This window comes from Homo sapiens, chromosome 4 (genome assembly GCF_000001405.40).
Source record: "Homo sapiens chromosome 4, GRCh38.p14 Primary Assembly".
NCBI lineage: Eukaryota > Metazoa > Chordata > Mammalia > Primates > Hominidae > Homo > Homo sapiens.
Window position 1 is genome coordinate 68,463,875 of NC_000004.12, and position 21,426 is coordinate 68,485,300.

Genomic DNA, 21,426 nt, shown 5'->3' on the forward strand with positions numbered 1-21,426 from the left:
CAAGGAATTCCTAGTAACACTAGGGGCTAATCACCTCAGTGAGAGAAAATGTCCCTTTCTACTTCTCATTTGCCTCTTCCCAAGCCAAGTTTTATAAGATTCATAAATCTTACTCATATGTATACAGTGAAAACTTGGCAAGAATTTTTTCAGTAACCTGTTCCTGAATCCTGTTGTTTGGATGATCAACTGAGTAATACTGAACACACAGCTTCTACTGCCCACACAGTACACCTGAATAAACAGTGATTGTTGTGATGTGTGTTACTGCCTTCTATTTGTGACCTGCTTTCTGTTTTGGGATGTAAACTAACCGAGTGGCTTTGGCAGACAAATATTTAGAAGCTGACATGCCAAAATAACCAAATCAAACCAAACCAAAAAAATCTGTCACAGAAATAGACAGATACAGACAAAGGTAATCAGATTTGGAAAAATATCATTTTGGTTCTCATTTCATAAAGCCCAGGACAATGTAGAATTCTGTGTATGGTTCGTGTCTGGGGCCTTTGGGGGTGCATTTCTGCCCCTGTGTAATTTGGATGTCAGAAGATGAATCTGTTATAAGCAACATCACTGCAGATTATAGAATCACAAAACTGCTAGAAATTTACCAACAAACTCATGTTTATCCTTATTTTTAACTTTTCTGTTAATATTCCCAACATATTTTAGTAACTACTCATACCATATATTTATGGCAGCTGGTAATATGTTTTAACAGTGGCATGCTTAAGTCTACAGGGTAAAGTAAAATACTGAGCACAGATAATAAATTGTTAACTTGGTTAAACCATATGAAATTGCCAATATTTGACTATTTTTGACCTGTACTAATGGTGATTTTAAATCATTCAATCTAATAAGCCAAAAAACTACATTTAAGGGTGTAGAAGGGTCTGTTAGCATTCTGTCTAGAATCTTGCTATTTAATATGTGATTAGCTACCAGAAGCATCAACATCACTTGCTAGCTTGTTAGAAATGCAAAATCTTGAGTCTAACTTTAGACCTCATGTACCAGAATGTGCATTTTAACAGGCTCCCTAGGCAGTTCACTTTCACATTAAAATTTGAAGCAGAATTCTAGAAGAATGGATACAACTCCACAGAGAGTTATAGTTAACTATGAGGCAGATGTTAAAAAATACAAATGTAGTAGAACAGTAGTTTACAGAGATAGTTATGAGTTATTTCCCAGTATTTCAATAAATTTAAAATCTTACTTGAAGTTATGTATATTTCCAGGTACCTGCCTGAATTTCATGTCACCCTGGCCATTCAGAGAAAGGGAGGTGAGGAAGGATGGAGGAAGAGTAAAACCTCCCAAGTCCTTCACTTAGGTCTCTTGTACTCTGGTGACTCAACTTTCAGTGTCTCCTGCCTGCCATTCATCTCTTTTATTCATCACCAACCGCACCCAAGCCCTTGTCAGAGTCTGATGGCTGCTTCCCTCTCTGTCCCATCAAATCCTCTGGATGGCCAGGGTGTTTTATTTGAAATACACCAGTAGTTTTTTGCATAACTTTTATACAACAAAAGATTTGTCCTCTAGCTTTAATAAGTGGCTTTTTTTCCTACTCTAAGAAGCAGCATGTGAAGTAAGTGGGTACTTTGGGAGTTAGTCTTGGCTATGTCCTGCTGGACTTGGGCAAGTTATTTACATTTCCAAGACTGTAATCTATTAAATGTGGATAACATTGCCTTTTCATGGAGTTATTGTAAATTAAATGAGATATGTGAATGTACTAGGGACACTGGTGTCCAGTGTTAGTTTCCTTTTCTTCTGTGGTTTAAGTGAAGAGGGAAAGAATAGGGAGGAAGAGAAAGGAGGAGAGAGACTGTGACTGGATGAGCCACAGTCTGCTTTCCTATAGTAACTATATACAACTGTCTTGATCACCAGTGTATTTCTAATGGTTGACACAGTGTCTCTTCCTGAAAAGTGGTTGGCATTAATATTTGTTGAATGAATACATTAATTTTCTGAGGGCTGTCTGCTTGCTTTATGCACTGGAGGGTAGAGGAAAAGTTATATCACATTAACTTTTCAGCAGGTCAAAAATGTGGGTTGCTTAAATTGAATGCAGAATGTAGAGACAGTGGCTAAGGAGCAGACAAGCCAACCCCTGTGGTTGGTGGGAAAAACATACATGCAGTGACAAGGGACCCAGGTGAAACTAAATAGTGTCCCTGGAAGGTTATGCCAGGTGGCAACTTTAGCTCCCTAAACTTCCATTTACTGAATCCCTTGCATTTTAATTCCTAACCTCATCTTCCTTTTCAGCCAAAATAAATTTTCTCAAACTAGAGTTCTTGCGGCCAGAATTGATGTATAGTTGATGGAAGGGAAAAGAAAATCTATGTTTGGAATATAAAAATGCAGTGACCCTTGGGAGGCTTCTGAATCCATCCCTGTTTGTATGCTCAGATGGCATGACTTGCTGTCTCTTGTGGCTTACTTAGGAATGAGTAACACATGAATAATCAGCCCACTGTTCCAATGAGCTACTTGTACAGTACTCCAGGAACACCAGGCATTTCTTACAGCTTTTATTCTCTAAATCACATGATGATAAATGTTGTTGTTTTTTATCCTGAGATAACTATGAGGCCTGGGGCAGGATGATGATGATGACCTGTGCTAAGAGCATTCCTTCCTGTTTCAGTCTTCCAGCAACCACCAAGCGGGGATATAATGATGCTTTACACACATCTGATAAAAATTATGATAGTGTTTTGCTTCTTTCCTTGTAGATCAAAAGAAGACCTACAATTACTATAGCACATTGTCATTTACAACTGACAAACTATATGCTGAGTTTGGCAGAGAGGCTTCTAACAATTTTACAGAAATGAGCCAGAGACTTGAATCAATGGTAAGCAACTTGTCATCTACTTCTAGTGCATTTGCTTTCACTTTTTACCATATTTTTAGCATCCTAGCTTCTAAAAGATCCATTCAACTAACGGATCCCTGTGTATTTGCAAAATGAAAAGAGGCCCTAACCCAAGGAATATAAAACAAAATGGACAATACATCACTTAGCACAATATGACTCACAGGGTTGAACCAAAGAAACTTTAGCCATTCGGTCAGGTCCTTCTTACTCACCTTTCCTTAGCTAGTGATATACTCTTGATCAGTAGAGTCCAGAGATTCTGGAAATGTGAGTGTGGCTTAAAATATATTTGTTGTATCCTAGACTTCCTAAAAAAGAGACCCCGAGCAGAAGATTGCCAAGATTGAAACTATTTAGGCACATACCTAAATAGTCTGTTAGGTTTTAAAAATATCTAACCTTCAACCAGCTTTTGGTATATAAATCTGTAGTAAATCCACAGATATGCAACTCTACCCAGTTTTTAAAAATATTTAACCTTCAACTAGCTTTTGGTATGTAAATCCACAGATAAGCAACTCTACCCTTAACGCATCAACATTCATCTTGAGGGATCAATTAAATACTTAAGAAACTGGAAAAATTAGCAGCATGGGCCAAAAGAACAAGGGCCTAAGTGGTAACTTCTTGTCATTATCAGATTAATTAAAGAATAATTTAACTTTTCCTGGAAACCTGTGAGGTAATTCATGATATAATGTGATGGAAAGAACACTGAACTGGGAGCTGGGAGGCACATGTATCTCCAATGGTATCTACTAGGTAATGATACATCACTTGGAATATTAGTTTATCATTCTGCACAAAGTTCTGTAAATTGAAAATTAAGGTATTAGGTTAGATAATTTCCAAATTGTCTTCCAGTTCCAATAACCTGAATAAGAATGGAAGTGAGACCCTGGAAACCGCCCAGTAGACAGAAGCCTGGGGATTTGGCCACCTTGCTGAGACAGTGGTTGAATCCTGGTTACATTTGCACTTGCAAACACCAAATCAGGGAAATATTTGACCAGGCTCTTCTCTAAGGCTAAATACATATGCAAAATGAAGGAAATGAAATTGAATTAAAAAGGTCAAGAAGAGATGCCACTATTTCCCTTGTTCTTTGTGCCATTCATTCAAATAAATTTTATTTAAGTAAATAAAATCCAGACAGATTTAAATCTAAAGGAATATACATAAGGCTCTTTAATGCCTTCAAAATTAATAATAGTTTTGAAGTTACTTGACAAAAATTAACCCTTAAATAAAAATTTTCTTGTGAATACTGCCATCCTATTCAGAGGACTTCTGCTATTCAGCTTTGTCTCATAATTGCAAGAAGTGTCCTTAGTAAAAAAATTCGGAATTAATAAAATGTAAGAAAGAATTAAAAGGCTCATTGCTTCTGTTAATCACCAGCATGTAGTAAGTGTTTACTAAATATCCACATACTGGAAACAAGACACCTTTGAGTGTTTCCTTACATAAACTCCTAATTAAAAAATTAAGTTGCCTAGAATTCTTATTTAGAATAATAACTAACGTCTCTACAAAAATAGACTCTTTCACTTTAGTAGAGTAAAACTCATAGGTGTGTTAGGCTAAGTATCCCAGTTCACCTGGGCCTTTTTAAGAGCACTTGGAGTGCTGAACTTCGTGTACATTATGCCAGGAAAACTGACAACTTTGTCACTAGGTTTGGGAAGCATTTGACATGGTCATGCACTCATTTCTATAATCCAAGTATTATGTGGCAGAATTATTTCATTTCCTTTGTCTATGGGCAGTAAAAGTCCTTACTTCAGAGTAAAATTTCTCACTCTTAATTTTGAAGAAACAGCATGTTCATTTTCTTTGGTCTCTTTCTGAGCATTAGTACAGCAGATATCACTTCTGGCCCCACTGCGGTTCCCTACTCCTATCATTCCTAAGACAGCGTTCAGTTGAAATCACTGAGAAAACCACAATAGATTCCTCAAGCTTCCTCAGTTCCACTCACTGTGAAATGTCAATGTTTTTTGCTCTGTTTTGTTTTTTAATTTTCTAAAAAGCTTTGAATTAATTTGTGGAATTTCAGAAAGTTGTTCTTGCTGATATATTTTGAATATTTTTACAAACAGGTGAAAAATGCATTTTATAAATCTCCATTAAGGGAAGAATTTGTCAAGTCTCAGGTTATCAAGTTCAGGTATGTAAATCTGAATTGCTGACTTCTGAATTTAAAGTTGAAGCTGTTAATCTGCTCAGCAATAAATATGTTTTCAAGTGTTAAAGATATAATTCAATCCAACAAACATTTGACACTTGTCCTGTGTAAGTCATGGGTTACAAAGTCCCTTATTCATTCCTTAAATCCCAAAGTAAGCATTTGCAAGATGGTTGCTGGGGACAGAGGTATAATTGGTGCCTATGTTATAAAATTGTTTTCTGGGAAACTTACCAAGTACAGATAGTACTAAATACAGATAGACCTAACACACATCCTTGGTTTAATGGCAAGTAGTGCCCCATGTAAGACAATATAGTAGATCAGGTTTGTCTTTAGCTCTTCTTCCTCCTATTAATCAATCTTCTTTATCTTCTTCTATTCCATCCCTCCATTCTCAAAATATGTAGCTGAGAAAATCTCATCTGTCAACTAACCATTGATAAATGGGTTTAGTACATAATGTTAAGGAAAATATTATAAGAATTTTCAATAAGATATTGACATAATACAAATTATTTGTATTAAAAAACAGAATAAGAATTATTTCCAATATTATTCCAATGACAAAACTTTAAAAGTTTCCTGCCATTCTATTACTTAGCTGATATCTCTAAGGCATTACTTTGATCACTGTCTTCTAAAAATTCTGTACTCTCTGGTGTTTGAGATACTGCCCTTTCTTGGATCTGCAACTACTTCTCTTATCTTTAAGTTTCACTTTCTCAAAGGGACCTCATTCACCCACATGGTCTCATATGCTATTGAAATACAAGTTTCTATCTCTAGTCTGAACTATTTTTCTGATTTCTATAACTATATACACATCCCCATGTGGAAGTTCCACAGAAAATTCCCTAACTCAGGAAGAATCCAATCACATAAATGAGAAACCTGGAAGTCATCAAACACTCCTTCCTTTCCTGGTCCCCTCATACTTTATGAATAACTAAGTTCCACTAATTCTATTTTCCCAATAACTTTCCAATTTGCTCACCTCTTTATTCCAGTAATCTTGCTACTGCTACTCATTATTCTGTCTTCTGTTACTGCAATAGTGAGAAGAGCAAGTTTATTGGAAAGATGAAGTCAATTTTGGAGATGTTGAATTTACATTCTAAGGGACCATATGAACCTGAAAAATGAGGGTGACTCAGTAGAGGGAAATGGAACTGAGCAGAAGATAGAAATTTGCTCATGATCAACTCAAAAATTTGGAAGCATGGGTGTAAATTTCTCAGAAAAAGAATAATAAAAGGGAATGAAAAGGATGACAAAGAAAGCTTGAAGACCAATATTTAAGGTGATGGAAGGAATATAGGAAACTTAGATATAGGGAAAGAGCAGGAAAATAGAAAAATCATGACAAAATCACCACTGATGCAAAAGATAAGAAGTTTCAAAGAGAGTGTGGTCGGCATTGACAAATATTCCTGACTGAGTAATATAAATATTGAAAAGAATCCACTGGCTTTGTCAACTAGGATACTTGGGTTGTTACTTATTTTCGTGTCCTGAAAATAGTGTTACAATTAACATGTTTATAGGTATGTCCTTGCACAAATGTATGAGTGCATTTGAATGTTTAATTTCTAGAAGTGGAAATGCTGTGCCAGAGAAGACAGATATTCAAACTTATAATAGATAACACTGCCATCCAAAAATAAGACTCTAATTTGTATTCCCACTTCCAGTTTATGAGAGTAGTGGTTGATGCAATATATAGTGAAGAGTTAGATTCAGAAGTGACTATGAAAAGGAGTGGGTAAAGTAGCTGGCAGGATGATTCCAAGGTAGTAATTCATACAAATAGTATTAAGACTAATTAATGCTCTGTGTTGAAAATACAGTCACATGAAGTCAGTACAATTTGGTAAAGCGGTCTTATATCTTTAGGATTAGGAGTTGTTTAGGATAGCCTGAAGATTGTTTAGGGGAGGTAAGTAGACTTGAGTCACAAGAATAAAACCTGAAATTCAAAACCACAGTTGATTTCATATTTAAGACACACTGTATTTGATAATTTTGAATGGTTTTTGACAAGGTGTCTTTTTATATTAATAGCCATATACTTAACTAGACCTTTTGATGGTAAGGGAGACCATGAACAGACTAACTCACTATATGAGAGGCTGAATTTGTGGTTCTTCACATAGTAAACAGTAGCAATATAGAAGGAAACATTTATGGATGTATTTTATGTGTGCATTTCATGTAAGTGATAAAGAAAAAAGCAGATTGTGATATTACCCTTCTTTCTTTTCTTTTCTCTTTTCTTTTCTTTCTCTCTCTCTCCCTCTCTCTCCTTCCTCCCCTCCATTCCCTTCTCTTCACTTCCTTTTTCCTTTCCCTTCTCCTTCCTTCCTTTTCTCTTTTCTTTCTTTCCTCCCTCCCTCCTTTCTTCACTTCCTCCTTCCCTCCCTCCCTCCCTCCCTTCCTGCCTTTCTTTCTTCTTTTCTTTTCTTTCTTTCATTTTCTTCTTTTTTGGCCCACAGTCAACAGAAGCATGGAGTGTTGGCTCATATGCTGTTGATTTGTAGATTTCACTCTACTGAGGATCCTGAAACTGTAGATAAAATTGTTCAACTTGTTTTACATGAAAAGCTGCAAGATGCTGTAGGACCCCCTAAAGTAGATCCTCACTCAGTTAAAATTAAAAGTAAGTTAATTTCTCTTATTTTTCTTTCATAGAACAGCTTCATGTTAGGTTTGATCTTGGCACTTATTAAAAAATTTTTTTTGATGTCCTTTAATTCTGGGGTCTTGCCACCAACAGTATATTTCTTTGGAACTAAATTTGTCCTAATGAAGTATTTTAATTTTTAAGACTACCCTAAACTTAGGCCTCCCATGCAAGCTTTTTATTAACTCCTTAGCAGTTTTCTTTATATTACACTTTATAGTTTGGCTATAGAATCCAATTATAAGTGAAGAAAATGGCTTTGTATTTTCTTCTTTTTCTTGTTGCTTTCATTGTGTGTTCTGAGGGTGTGGTATATGGAAAGGTTCATGCCATTTACACATTTGTTTTCAAATGTCATTAATATACCTTGCTATACTTTCTTCCCTTAAACTTTTCACCAGTGAAACATTTATAATAAACTTATTTTTGGTATATTTACAACTATAAATGAAAAATTTAGGTAGATTTTTGTTGTTCTTGTTGTTATTGTTTGTAGGGCCACATGGGACAAAACAAGTGATGATAGGTCCTCACATTTAGAAAATAAGAAATATGAGATCCTCAGTGGAAATTAAGATCTGGCTAAGGGCTGGTTCATATGTTACAGAACAATGAAGGTCTATAGAAATACTATCTGGGCACAAGTATAATGTTACATTTTCTAGAAGTTACATTAAAAATAAAAATAAACATGTAAAATTAATTTTCAATAATTTGTATATTCAACCCAATATGTCCAAAGTATTATCATTTAAACAAATAGTCAATGTAAAAATTAATTATTCATCAAATATTTCACTTTTTTTTGTAGTAAGGCTCTGGAATCTAGCGTACATTTTATACTGATAGTACATTTCAATTTAGACTAGCCACACTGCAAAAGCTCATTGGCCACAGGTGGCTAGTGGATACAGTAGTGGATATGGCAGCACTGGAAACTACAGAATAGGGGACAAGTAGAGAGAATGAATACAAACTGCTAATATAATATCTGATAGATCTAAGTAGATGCCTAAATTGATGGCCAGCCAACCCACTTGCTTAGGAAGGAGGCTTCAGTAGTCAGGGACAGATACATAATTTATGCGCCTTAGCACAAAATGAAAATGCTAGACCTGTTTTCAAAAAGCAAGAAAAAAGTGCTGTTAAAAGTACAAAGATATAACACTTTTCTTTCTTCCCTGGTCTCGCTCTCGACTTTCCATGGTGTTTTCATTTGCTGATTATTGTCATTCTAAGAGAAAAAAATTAAATTTGTAGATTACTAATATGAGTTTAATTGTTTATATCATGCAATGTCGATATAAATGCATATATAAGTACATTTAACTTGTATTTCAAATCATGGAAATTATGCAACTATATTTCGTAGCTTATACATACATGTTTTTCATTTTTGCCTCAATGGAAATAGTACAAAAGGCTAATGACTCTTTTTATTTTCCTGGTTAATATGAGAAAATTCTACCAACACTCTCTACCTTCAGCTTATTGAGGGGTGAGGAAGGACTAGAAGGAAAAGGAGATCTGGATTTCCCTATCTTTCTCTTTCTACATTGTAGTTTTCAGCAAAAGTTGTTGGCTAATACACAGAAGTAACAGAAGCAAGAAAGGATATGGCAGGATCTGTTGTTCATTTGTGTTTATTAGAATGCTATTGTCTTTTCTATGGGTTCTAAGCAAGTTTTGGTTCAAACAGAAAACATGGCCTCCAAGGCATGTCAGTCCACCTCTGCTTACTTAATGGAAGGGATAGCACACTTACCTTGTACTTGCTTTGAGTCTTGCTGAACCCCTGTGGATTGTGGGTCCACTAGAATTCTGATTTCATAGGGAATTGTGAATGATATATGCAAATGGAGTGGAAAGAAACTATGGACACACTTATTGCACATATCTTGTCTGCCAACACTATAATCCATTATCCTATTGAACTTCATTTTCAAAACACAAGTTACAAGATAAAATTATTAAGAATGTCAAGTGAGCAATAGCAGAGCATTGTACCAAGCACAAGGCCATTGTGAGTGTGAGACCCAGTGCAGATGTATAAGTCACACATGAAGCCAGCCTTGTCAGTGCTATCAATACTCAGAGCTTGACATTTTCCTAGGAAGAGCTTGAGATAGAGAACAGGTTATTTGAAACAAAGAGATCAGAGGTGGTCCTTTTAATATTAACTGAGACTAAATTGTAAATTCTTCCTTATTTTTGCCATTTTCCCCACAAGTAGCCAGAATAAATAAAGTCAGAAAGAAGGCCTTCTAGAATATAGATTTCCACTTCATTCATACTATTAAATACTAAAGAAAAAAATTAACACTAATAATATTTTTGCATTTAGAGCATCCATCCTTCCATGTACAAAGAATAGTTTTGGTCATTAGAACTCTGCTGAGTCAGAAAGTTTGAGCTTAGAGTTTTATGTATCTATTAGCTGGGTTAGTGTTTGCATAGGGTTTGAGACTGACTAGTGAGAAGTCAGCAAGCTAAGAAGTCATTGGCTGGAGCTAAATGACAATTTGAGGGCAGACTGTCTTTTGAAATTTGACTTCAAAAAGGGTAACATTGTTTTTAACTGTGAGTGAGTACAAATTTATGGAGATGCTACTCAGGTGTGTTATACAAATGGGACTAGGCTTATGAGCTCAATGATACAATCTGAAATAATGGTTAATAAAGGTATTGTTACATTTGGGGAATTAATACTATGGTTTAGAGTAGTATTTCCCATGGAGGGGCTGTGGACTCTCTGCATCTTATTTACTGGTATAAAATCCAAATTCTTGGGCGTCATTACAAGCTACTGAATTAGAGTTACTGGGAAGGTGAACAGGAGTTTCATTATAAATATGCTTCCTATGTGACTCTTACCCACATTAAAGTTTAACACACCGTTCACATTCTCTGCAATGTGATGATCATCCTATGTCTATGACAAGCTATGTTGCCTTCTTTATAATCTAGAGATACTGTTTTATAATAAAATTAAGCAGCCTTTTAGTATTTGAAATACTCGGAGGCATAGTGTAACTCTGATGTGCTGACCCTATTTGCCATTTCTGTGTGTTTCAGAAATCAACAAGACAGAAACAGACAGCTATCTAAACCATTGTAAGTTTAATATATTTATTAAAATAGCATTACCTGAAGGTAAAAAGCTAACACTATAGGTCATTTAGGTTTACTTTGTGTTGATATCATAGGGACAGAACACATAAAGTTTGATTAATTTGTGTACAGTTCATGGTACTTTATCATATCTTGGAGATACATTTTATTAGTAAAGGATAGCAAAATTGAGATAACTTTGGAGTGGATGTATGGGTGCCTGTGGCAGATGTGTAGTGGAATTGAGTTGTACAGCTGTTAAAGAAGAGGCAAGAAATGTTTACTTATCAATGTTCTGTTTGTAGATATCTATAAGATAAAACAAATCTATACATTGTGTTTTTCAGCTAGAGGCAGAAACTCATTGTCACTATATCCTAGATAAAATCTTCTTGATGTTATTAATCCTACGGATTAATACGAAAGTGCAGGAAATTATCGGGTCATGGAAGAGTCACAGAAAGTGCAGGAAATTATGGGGTATATTTTAATAAAATTACTGAAGACACATAGATAATATCTTCACCTATATTATAAAAGTGCTGAGTCTAGGCCTAGCATTTTTCTTCGCCTATAGCCAAGTATGCCACCATGATTTACAGTATACATTCAATAGTTATGGGGTTGTTGCACATTACATTTCTCTTAAAAGGTGGAAAAATATGTGCTACTCACCAGCTCATATAGTTGGTTAATTTCTAAAATCAACTAAACACAAAACCAAAAGATAATCTCATTACCTAAATAGCATATATTCTCACCACCAATATTTATTGGGAACCTACCATGTGCTAGCACTGTGTTAGACAACAGGCATTCCAAATGGATAAGATATAATATCTCTACCTGAAGCACCTTATACTTTAATGGGACTAGGTGCATGAGACTAATTCATGAACACATCATTCTTAAACAACACTTCTCAACCAAGGGAAATATTGTTGGCCAAGCTATCATGCCCCACTGTGGCATTTTTGTCATGAATATAGGGGGAGGGCTACTGGCATCTATAGTGGATCTACAGTATATAGGCCAAGATCTTATGATGCACAGGGCAGCCCCCTACAACAAAGAATTAAATGGTTCAATATGTTAGTGGTGCCAAGGTTGAGGAACCCTGTCATAAACAATGTCAGTATGTATACATACACATAAGCACACATACAGAGTGTGTTTGTTATACACATAAGCACACACACAGAGTGTATTTGTTACTATTATTATTTTGGAAGCACCAAGAAAGTAATAACTAATCCAGATTGGAGACAGGGGAGTTAGAGAAAGCATCCTAGAGAGGTAACAACTGATTTAGATTTTACAAAATGAACAGGAGTTAGCTAAATAAAACACTACAGTTTACAGAAAGGTAAGAGCATGAGAAAACATTTGATACTTTTGGAGCACAAAGTAGAAGAAATATGGGACATAGTAACACAATTTGATGTGCAAAACAACTGCTAATTAATGCACCCACCAATGCACCCCCCCTCTCTCTTTTGCAGGCTGCGGAACACGAAGAAGTAAAACTCTAGGTCAGAGTCTCAGGATCGTTGGTGGGACAGAAGTAGAAGAGGGTGAATGGCCCTGGCAGGCTAGCCTGCAGTGGGATGGGAGTCATCGCTGTGGAGCAACCTTAATTAATGCCACATGGCTTGTGAGTGCTGCTCACTGTTTTACAACGTAAGTCTTGAAGCTTGAGAATGATTGGGAGTGAACAAAGTGCACTGGGTTTTGGCAAGAAAATACCTCATGAATTTTGGGAGATATGAGTTTAGCATAAATTAAAAATAGTGTGTATATCACAAAAGACTGGATCATTTGTAAACATTAGTAAGAGGTTTTAAAGTCTGGAAATGGAAATGGAGTCAAAGTATATGTAAATAAATAATCTTTTGATAAACACACAATAGTTTCTCAAAGAAAGCAGGAATTTTAAAGTCATTTTTGGATTTGAATTTGCTGTCAAACAGGAGTGCTCTATCTCTGCTGAGTACCTTAATCAGAGATGGAGTCTGGATAGGTTGTAGGTTTGATCCTAAGGGGGAAATTTCACATGGTAAGAAAAAGAATTAAATACGAAGAATTATGTAATGAAGATATGAAGAATTTGGAAGTAGCAAGTTGTATAAATGAATAGATTGACTAATTATATTGCAAGAAATGGAGGACCCTTCAATCTATTGTCAAAATGTCTATAGTATATAAAATAATAATACTTTGTTAAATTATTGTGTGGACTTTTTGGTTTTCAGAGAAATGTGTATATTTCTGGGTGGGGTACATGAGACACATAGAATATATTAATTTCTCTTATTCTGTACAGGGTACTTTCCATAGGTCCCTTGGAGTCATTAATATACAGAAAAATCAAAAAGCCTTAGCATTTGGAGTGGATGACTTGGCATATGGAGTGGCATGTATATTATAGGAAATGGTGGCTTTTTCACCTGGTCAGAACCCTGAGCCTTATTATCAAATTGGAAAGAGTTCTATACATCAAAACTATAAAAAGAAAAAAAAATCTACACCTGTAGACTAAATTATTTAATATAAATTATTCGACTGGTAGCATGGTAAAAAGAAATTTATTCTTCATTTTTTTCTCCCCAGATATAAGAACCCTGCCAGATGGACTGCTTCCTTTGGAGTAACAATAAAACCTTCGAAAATGAAACGGGGTCTCCGGAGAATAATTGTCCATGAAAAATACAAACACCCATCACATGACTATGATATTTCTCTTGCAGAGCTTTCTAGCCCTGTTCCCTACACAAATGCAGTACATAGAGTTTGTCTCCCTGATGCATCCTATGAGTTTCAACCAGGTGATGTGATGTTTGTGACAGGATTTGGAGCACTGAAAAATGATGGTGAGCATCGGAAGAGGAACTCAAGTAAAAGTTAAATTGGTATTTTATGGCATTTAAGCAATGAAATGCCATTATGCCAAAATATGTTAGTTGTGTGGTCATATGACCTGGACCAAGTCAGGCCCTAAAAGTGAAGTAAATAACTTGGAAGGCACAAAAATTCCTTCCTGCCTAAGTTAATATCGAGTAAATTGCTCCTACTATATACTACAGTCATAGTACTGCTAAGATGTCTGAAAAAGCAAATATGTCTCCTAGCCATGAACTTTCTTTAGAGAATTAACCAGTTTAGAGATTAGCAATCAATAATATACCCAATTCTGAAGATTGGAGAATCATAAAGCCACCATTCTCCCCTACTGAAATTTCCTTGTAATCTTAACAATGGAGTGGACATTATTTAGATAACTTGTGGTTCTTTCCTAGGCACCCAACTTTTTGCTCAAAGTAGTTAGGAACAAATTATCTTCCCAAATATTATTGTTCTAAACATATGTAGTCTAAGATTCTGTATCACTATCTTTTTTTTTTTTTTTTGAGACAGAGTCTCCTTGTTGAGACAGAGTCTCCAGGCAGAAGTGCAATGGTGCGATCTTGGCTCACTGCAACCTCTGCCTCACAGGTTCAAGCGATTCTCCTGCCTCAGCCTCCCCAGTGATTGGGACTACAGGTGCCCGCCTAATTTTTCCATTTTTAGTAGAGACAGGGTTTCACCATGTTGGCCAGGCTGGTCTCAAACTCTTGACCTCAGGTGATCTGCCCTCCTCGGCCTCCGAAAGTGCTGGGATTACAGGTGTAAGCCACCGCACCCGGTATCCCCCGCTTTTTTTTTTTTTTTTTTTTTAAGATGGGGCTTCTTTCTGTCCCCCAGGCTGGAGTTCAGTGGCCCGATCTTGGCTCACTGCAACCTCTGCCTCCCGGGTTCAAGAGATTTACCTGCATCAGCCTCCTGAATAGCTGGGATTACAGGTGCATGCCACCACCCCCGGCTAATTTTTGTATTTTTAGTAGAGACAGGATTTCACCATGTTGGCCAAGCTGGTCTTGAACTCCTGGCTTCAAGCGATCCTCCAATCTCGGCCTCTCAAAGTGCTGGGATTACTGGCGTTAGTCACCGTGCCTGGCCTGTATCACCATCTTATTCCTAATCATGAAACATTTTCTTCAAGTTTATAAAATATATGTATGTCTACAAATACAAAGACTTTTTTTTCTTTTAGGTTACAGTCAAAATCATCTTCGACAAGCACAGGTGACTCTCATAGACGCTACAACTTGCAATGAACCTCAAGCTTACAATGACGCCATAACTCCTAGAATGTTATGTGCTGGCTCCTTAGAAGGAAAAACAGATGCATGCCAGGTAAACAGTTTTGCCCATTAGTAGGTTGTGTAATTTTTTGTTTACTTTTCTTTGAAATAATTATATATCTACAGGAAGTTGCAAAGATAGTACAGAGGAGTCACAACATCTCACCCAGTTTTCTCCAATGATTACATCTCACATAACTATAGTTCAATATAAGATCTGGGAAACTGACAGTCGTACAAAGTATGTGTCTAATTCTATGGCATTTTGTCACATCTGTAGATTTGTGTAACCACCACTACAGTTAAGATGAAGAACTATTCTATCACCACAAAGACCTACCTTTTTCCCTCCTCCTACTATCCCTAACATCTGGCAATCACTAATTTATTCTCCATCTCTATAATTTTTCAATTTTCAGAATGTTATATAAATAGAGTAACAGTAGCTTTTTAAACAGAATTTAATTTTGGATCATCTATTGGTATTTTTGGCTTTTTGTTGTAGAAAAATTTTAGTGGTTCCTTTAAGTTATATATATGTGTATATAAATATATATTTATTTATATATACATACATAACATCACTGTCTATGTGTATTGAAATTTTACTAGTTTTGGTGGAGTATAGAATAAAAAACTTACTTCCCCTTAAATCCCTTTGCTTTTCCCTCTTTAATATTAAACATTAACAAATATAAACATTAAATATTAATAAATATAAATATTAAATATTTGCTTTATATTTTGAGAACCACAGAAGACAATGTTTTGCTTCAACTGTCAAATGTAATTTAGAAAACATAAGAGGAAAAGGAAAGACTATTTACCTATGGATTTCTTCTTTCCTCTTTCCTGATTCCTTTTTTAAAAACAGTCATTTCTGTTTTAGGAACTTCTTTTAGCCACTCTTTTAGTATAGGTATGCTGGTGAAAAATTCTCTTAGATTTTCTTTGTCTCTAACAGTCTTTATTTCTTCTTCATTACTGGAGCATAATTTAGCACTGACAGTTCTTTTCTTTCAGCATTTAAATCATTGCCTCTGTGATTTCTGCAAGGAATTTGCTGCTATTAGAATTATTTTTTTCCAATAGATGAGGTGTCATTTCTTGCTGTGTTCAAGAGTTTGTCTTTAGTTTTCAGAAGTTTGATTATGTATCTTGGCATGGATTTCTTTGGGCTTATCCTGTTTGAGGTTTGCTCAGCTTTTTGAATATGTAGATTTATATCCTTTGTCAAGTTTGAGAAATTTTTGGTCATTATTTCTTAAAATACTCTTTCAGTCCCACCTTCTTTCTTCTTTCCTTCTGGAACTCTAACCACAGCAATGTTTACTCTTTTATTATAGTCCCAGAGTTTCCTAAGCTTTTGTTTATTTTTTTTGCACTCTAGTTTCTCTCTGTTTTTGAGATTGGGTAATTTCAATGTATCTTCAAGTTTACTGATTCTTTGCTCTGTCTTCTCTATTCTTATGTTAAGCCCGTCCAGTGAGTTTTGAATTTTGCTTATCATATTTTTTAGTTCCAGGGTTTTTCTTTGTTTCTTCTTTTTATATTTACTATTTCTTTGTTGACACTTCCTATTTCTTTTCCTTTGTTTTAAACATGATGGTAATTGCTCATTGAGATGTATTTATGATGGCTGCTTTAAAATCTTTGTCAAATAATTTCAACATTTGTGTTATCTCAGTGTTGGTATCTGTTGATTGCCTTTTCTCATTCAAGTAAAAACTTTTATATTTCATTGTATGATGACTGATATTCAGATATATGCTGAGCATCTAATTATTATTTATTCTGTTTTGTTGTTGTTGTTATATCATGCTTTTAAATTTATATTATTTTATTTAATTAATTACTTTGCTTCTTCCAACTTTTATTTTAGGTTCAGAGGTTACATCTGCAGGATTGTTACATGGGTAAATTGTGTGTTGCTGGGGTTTGGTGTACAAATTATTTCATCATGCAGGTAGTAAGCATAATAACCAATAGGTAGTTTTTGGTTCTCATCCTCCTCCCACCCTCAACCCTCAAGTAAGCCCCAGTATGTATTGTTCCTCTCTTTGTGTCCATATGTACTCAATGTTTAGCTTCCACTTATAAGTGAGAACATGAGGTATTTGGTTTTCTGTTCCTGCATTCATTTGCTTAGTATAATGGCCTGTGGCTGCATCCATATTGCTGCAAAAACCATGGTTTCATTTTGCTTTCTGGCTCCATAGCATTCCATGGGGTATATTTACCACATTTTCTGTATCCAGTCCACTGTTGATGGACATTTTAGGTTGATTCCATGACTATTGTGACAATTGCTGCCATGAACATATGCATACATGTGTCTTTATGGCAGAACAATTTGTATTCCTTTGTGTATAATATACCCAGTAATGGGATTGCTGGGTCAAATTGTAGTTCTGTCTTAATTTCTTTGAGAAATCTCCAAGCTGCTTCCCACAGTGGCTGACCTAATTTACATTCCCACGAGCAGTGTATAAGCATTCCCTTTTCTCCACAACCTCAACAACATCTGTTGTTTTTTTGACTTTTTAGTAATAGCCATTCTGACTGGTTTGAGATGGTATCTTATTATGGTTTTTAATTTCCCATTTCCCTGATTAGTGATGTTGAGCATTTGTCCATATGTTTGTTGGCTGCTTGTGTGTCTTCATTTGAGAAGTGTCTGTTCCTGTCTGTATTAGGCTGTTCTTACACTGCTATAAAAAAATACCTGGGTCGGGAATGGTGGCTCATGCAGGTAATCTCAGCACTTTGGGAGGCCAAGGGAGGTGGATCACTAGAGCTCAGAAGTTCAAGACCAGCTTGGGCAACATGGGGAAATCCTGTCTCTGCTAGAAATACAAACATTAGCCAATGTGGTGGTGTGTGCCTGTAGTCCCAGCTACTTGGAAATTATGAGGCAGGAGGATTGTTTGAACCCAAGAGGTCGAGGCTGCACTGCACCCACTGCACTCCAGCTTGGGTGACAGAGCAAAACCCTGTCTCCAAAAACAAACAAACAAACTAACAAAACCAAGTAAACAAAAAGCCAATATTAGGTAATGTATAAAGAGAAAAGGTTTAATTGGCTTATGATTCTGCAGGCTTTATGGGCAGCATGGTGCTGGCATCTGCTCGGTTTCTAGGGAGGAAGCTTACAATCATGGCAGAAGGTGAAGTGTGAAATGGGAGGGAGCAGGTACATCACATGGTGAAAGCAGGAGCAAGAGGGATAGAGGTGCCATACACTTTTAAACAATCCGATCTCACAAGAGCTCACTCACTATTGCAAAGATAACTCCAAGCCGTGAGTGATTGGCTCCCATGACCTGAACACCTCCCACCAGGTCCTACCTTCAGCATTGGGGGTGACAAAGCAACATGAGATTTGGGCAGGGATAAATATCCAAATTATATCATTCTGCTCCTGGCCTCTCCCAAATCTCATGTCTTCTCACATTGCAAAATATAATTATGCCTTCCTAACAGTCCCCAAAAGTCTTAACTCATTCCGACTTTAACTCAAAAATTCAAAGTTGGCCAGATGCAGTGGCTCACACCTATAATCCCAGCATTTTGGAAGGCCAAGGTGGGTGGATTTCTTGAGCCCAGGAGTTTGAGACCAGCCTGGGTAATGTGGCAAAACTGCATCTCCACAAAAAAAAAAAAAAAAAAAAAAAAAAAAAAAATTAGCTGGGCTTTGTGGCATATGCCTATAGTTCCAGCTGTTTGGGAGGCTGAGGTGGGAAGATTGATTGATCGTGGGAGGTTTAGGCTGCATTGAGCTGTGATCGCACCACTGCAGTCCAGCTTGGGTGACACAGAAAGACTTCATCTTGGGGAAAAAAAAAAAGTCTGAAGTCCAAAGTCTCATCTGAGATAAAGCAATTCCCTTCCACCTCATCAATCTGGATTTCACTGTCGATGTAACTATCAGCATTTTGGTCACAACCATTTAACCAGTTTCTAAGAAATTTCAGACTTGATCATATCTGTCTTCTGAGCCTTCAAAATTCTTCCATTCTTTACCTGTTACCCAGTTGCCAAGTCGCTTTCACATTTTCCAATATCTTTATAGCAATGCCACACTCATAGTTACCAATTTTCTGTGTTAGGCTGTTCTTGCATTGCTATTAAGAAATATCTGAGGCTGGGTAATTTATTAGAAAAGATGTTTAATTGGCTCATGGCTTTTCAGACTTTATAGTAAGCCTGATGCTGGCATTAACTTAGCTCCTAGGGAGGCATCAGGAAGCTTATAATCATGGTGGGAGGTGAAAGGGGAGCAGGAACATCATGTGGTGAAAGCAGGAGCGAGAGAGAGAGAGAGTGGGAGGAGGTGCCACACACTTTTAAACAACCAGATATCGTGACAGTTCACTTGCTATCGCAAAGACAGCACTATGCTGTCAGGGATCCGTTACCCAAACAACTCCCACCAGCCTCACTTCCAGCAATGGAGATTAAACTTCAACATGAGATTTGAGAGGGGACAAATATTCAAACTGTATCTATGTTTTTTTTCCCCATTTTAAAAGGGAGTTGTTTGTTTTTTGCTTGTTGATTTGTTTAAGATTTCTTAAAGATTCTGGATATTAGACCTTTGTCAGATGCATAGTTTGCAAATATTTTTTCCTATTCTGTAGGTCGTCTGTTTACTCTGTTAATAGTTTATTTTCCTGTGCAGAAGCTCTTTAGTTTAATTAGATCCCAGTTGTCAATTTTTGTTTTAGTTGCAATTGCTTTTAGGGTCTTTGTTATAAAAGCTTTGCTAAGGCTGATGTCCAGAATGGTAGTTCCTAGGTTTTCTTCTAGAGTTTTTATAGTTTTAGGTTTTACACTTAAGTATTTCAACCATCTCAAGTTGATTTTTGTATATGGTGAAAGAAAGGGGTTCAGTTTTAATTTTTTGCATATGGCTAGCCAGTTATACCCAGCACCATTTATTGAGTAGGGAGTCCTTTCCCCATTTCTTGTTATGGTCAGCTTTGTCAAAGATGAGATGGTTGTAGACATGCAGCTTTACTTCTGGCTTCTCTATTTGGTTCCATTGATCTATGTGTCTACTTTTTTTGTACTAGCACCATGATCTTCTGGTTACTATAGCTTTGTGGTATAGTTTGAAGTCTGGTAGTGTGATGCCACCAGCTTTGTTTTTTTGTTTAGGATTGCTTTGGCTATTAAGGCTCTTTTTTGGTTCCATATAAATATTACAACAGTTTTTACTAATTCTGTGAAAAATGACATTGGTAGTTTTATAGGAATAACATTTAATCTGTAAATTTCTTTGAGCAGTATGGCCATTTTAACAATACTGATTCTTTCTATTCATGAACACAAACTGTTTTACCATTTGTTTGTGTCAACTATGGTTTCTTTCTTTTTTTTCTTGAGACAAGGTCTTACCCTGTTGACCAGGCTGGAGTGCAGTGCCACAACTATAGTTCACTGCAGCCTTGAACTCCTGGGCTCAAGCGATCCTCCCACTTCAGTCTCCTGAGTAGCGGGGACTATAGGCATTCACCACCACACATGGCTAATTTTTTAGATTTTTGGTAGAGATGGAGTCTTGCCATGTTGCTCATGCTGGTCTTGAACTCCTGAGCTCAAGCAATCCTCCTGCCTCTGCCTCCTAAAGTGCTGGGATTACGGGCATCAGCCACTGTACCTGGCCTTCAACTATGATTTCTTTCAGCAGTGTTTTTAATTCTCATTGTAGAGGTCCTTCACCTTCCTAGTTAGCCATATGTCTATGTATTTTATTCTTCTTGTGGCAATTGTGAATGAGATTGCACTCTTGATTTGGCTCTCGGCTAAGATGTTAATGTTGTATAGAAGTGCTCCTCATTTTAGTACATTGATTTTGTATTCAGAAACTTTACTGAAGTTGTTTATCAGTTCTAGGAGCCTTTGGGCAGAGACTGTGGAGTTTTCTGGGTGTAGAATCATATCATTTGTGAAGAGAGATAGTTTGACTTCCTCTCTTCTATTTGGATGCCTTTTATGTCTTTCTCTTGCCTAATTGCTTTGGTCAAAACTTCCAGTACTATGTTGAATAACAGTAGTGAGAGTGCACATCCTTGTCTTTTCTGGTTCACAGGGGAATGCTTCTAGCTTTTGCCCATTCATTATGATGTTGGTTATGGGGTTGTCATAGAAGGCTTTTATTATTTTGAAGTATGTTCCTCTGATGCCTAGTTAGTTCAAGGTTTTTTTCTTTTTTTTCTTTTTGAGACAGAGTCTCGCTTTGTCACCCAGGCTGGAGTGCAGTGGTGCGATCTCAGCTCACTGCAACCTCTGTCCCCCAGGTTCTAGTGATTCTCCTGCCTTAGCCTCCTGAGTAGCTGGGATTACAGGTGCCAACCAC

The 21,426-nt window shown here is 36.4% G+C and overlaps 1 protein-coding gene across 3 annotated transcripts in view; it reads left to right on the forward strand.

The window, feature by feature from the left end:
• TMPRSS11E (transmembrane serine protease 11E) overlaps window positions 1-21,426 on the forward strand; it is a 50,142-nt gene that overhangs the window by 16,412 nt on the left and 12,304 nt on the right. For all 3 annotated transcript variants that reach the window (NM_014058.4, XM_011531896.3, XM_047450139.1), the window contains 7 exons: window positions 2,757-2,878; window positions 5,005-5,072; window positions 7,586-7,749; window positions 10,849-10,887; window positions 12,387-12,564; window positions 13,495-13,754; window positions 14,975-15,117. In NM_014058.4, coding sequence (NP_054777.2) covers window positions 2,757-2,878; window positions 5,005-5,072; window positions 7,586-7,749; window positions 10,849-10,887; window positions 12,387-12,564; window positions 13,495-13,754; window positions 14,975-15,117 — 974 coding nt within the window. The remainder of the gene's footprint in view (window positions 1-2,756; window positions 2,879-5,004; window positions 5,073-7,585; window positions 7,750-10,848; window positions 10,888-12,386; window positions 12,565-13,494; window positions 13,755-14,974; window positions 15,118-21,426) is intronic.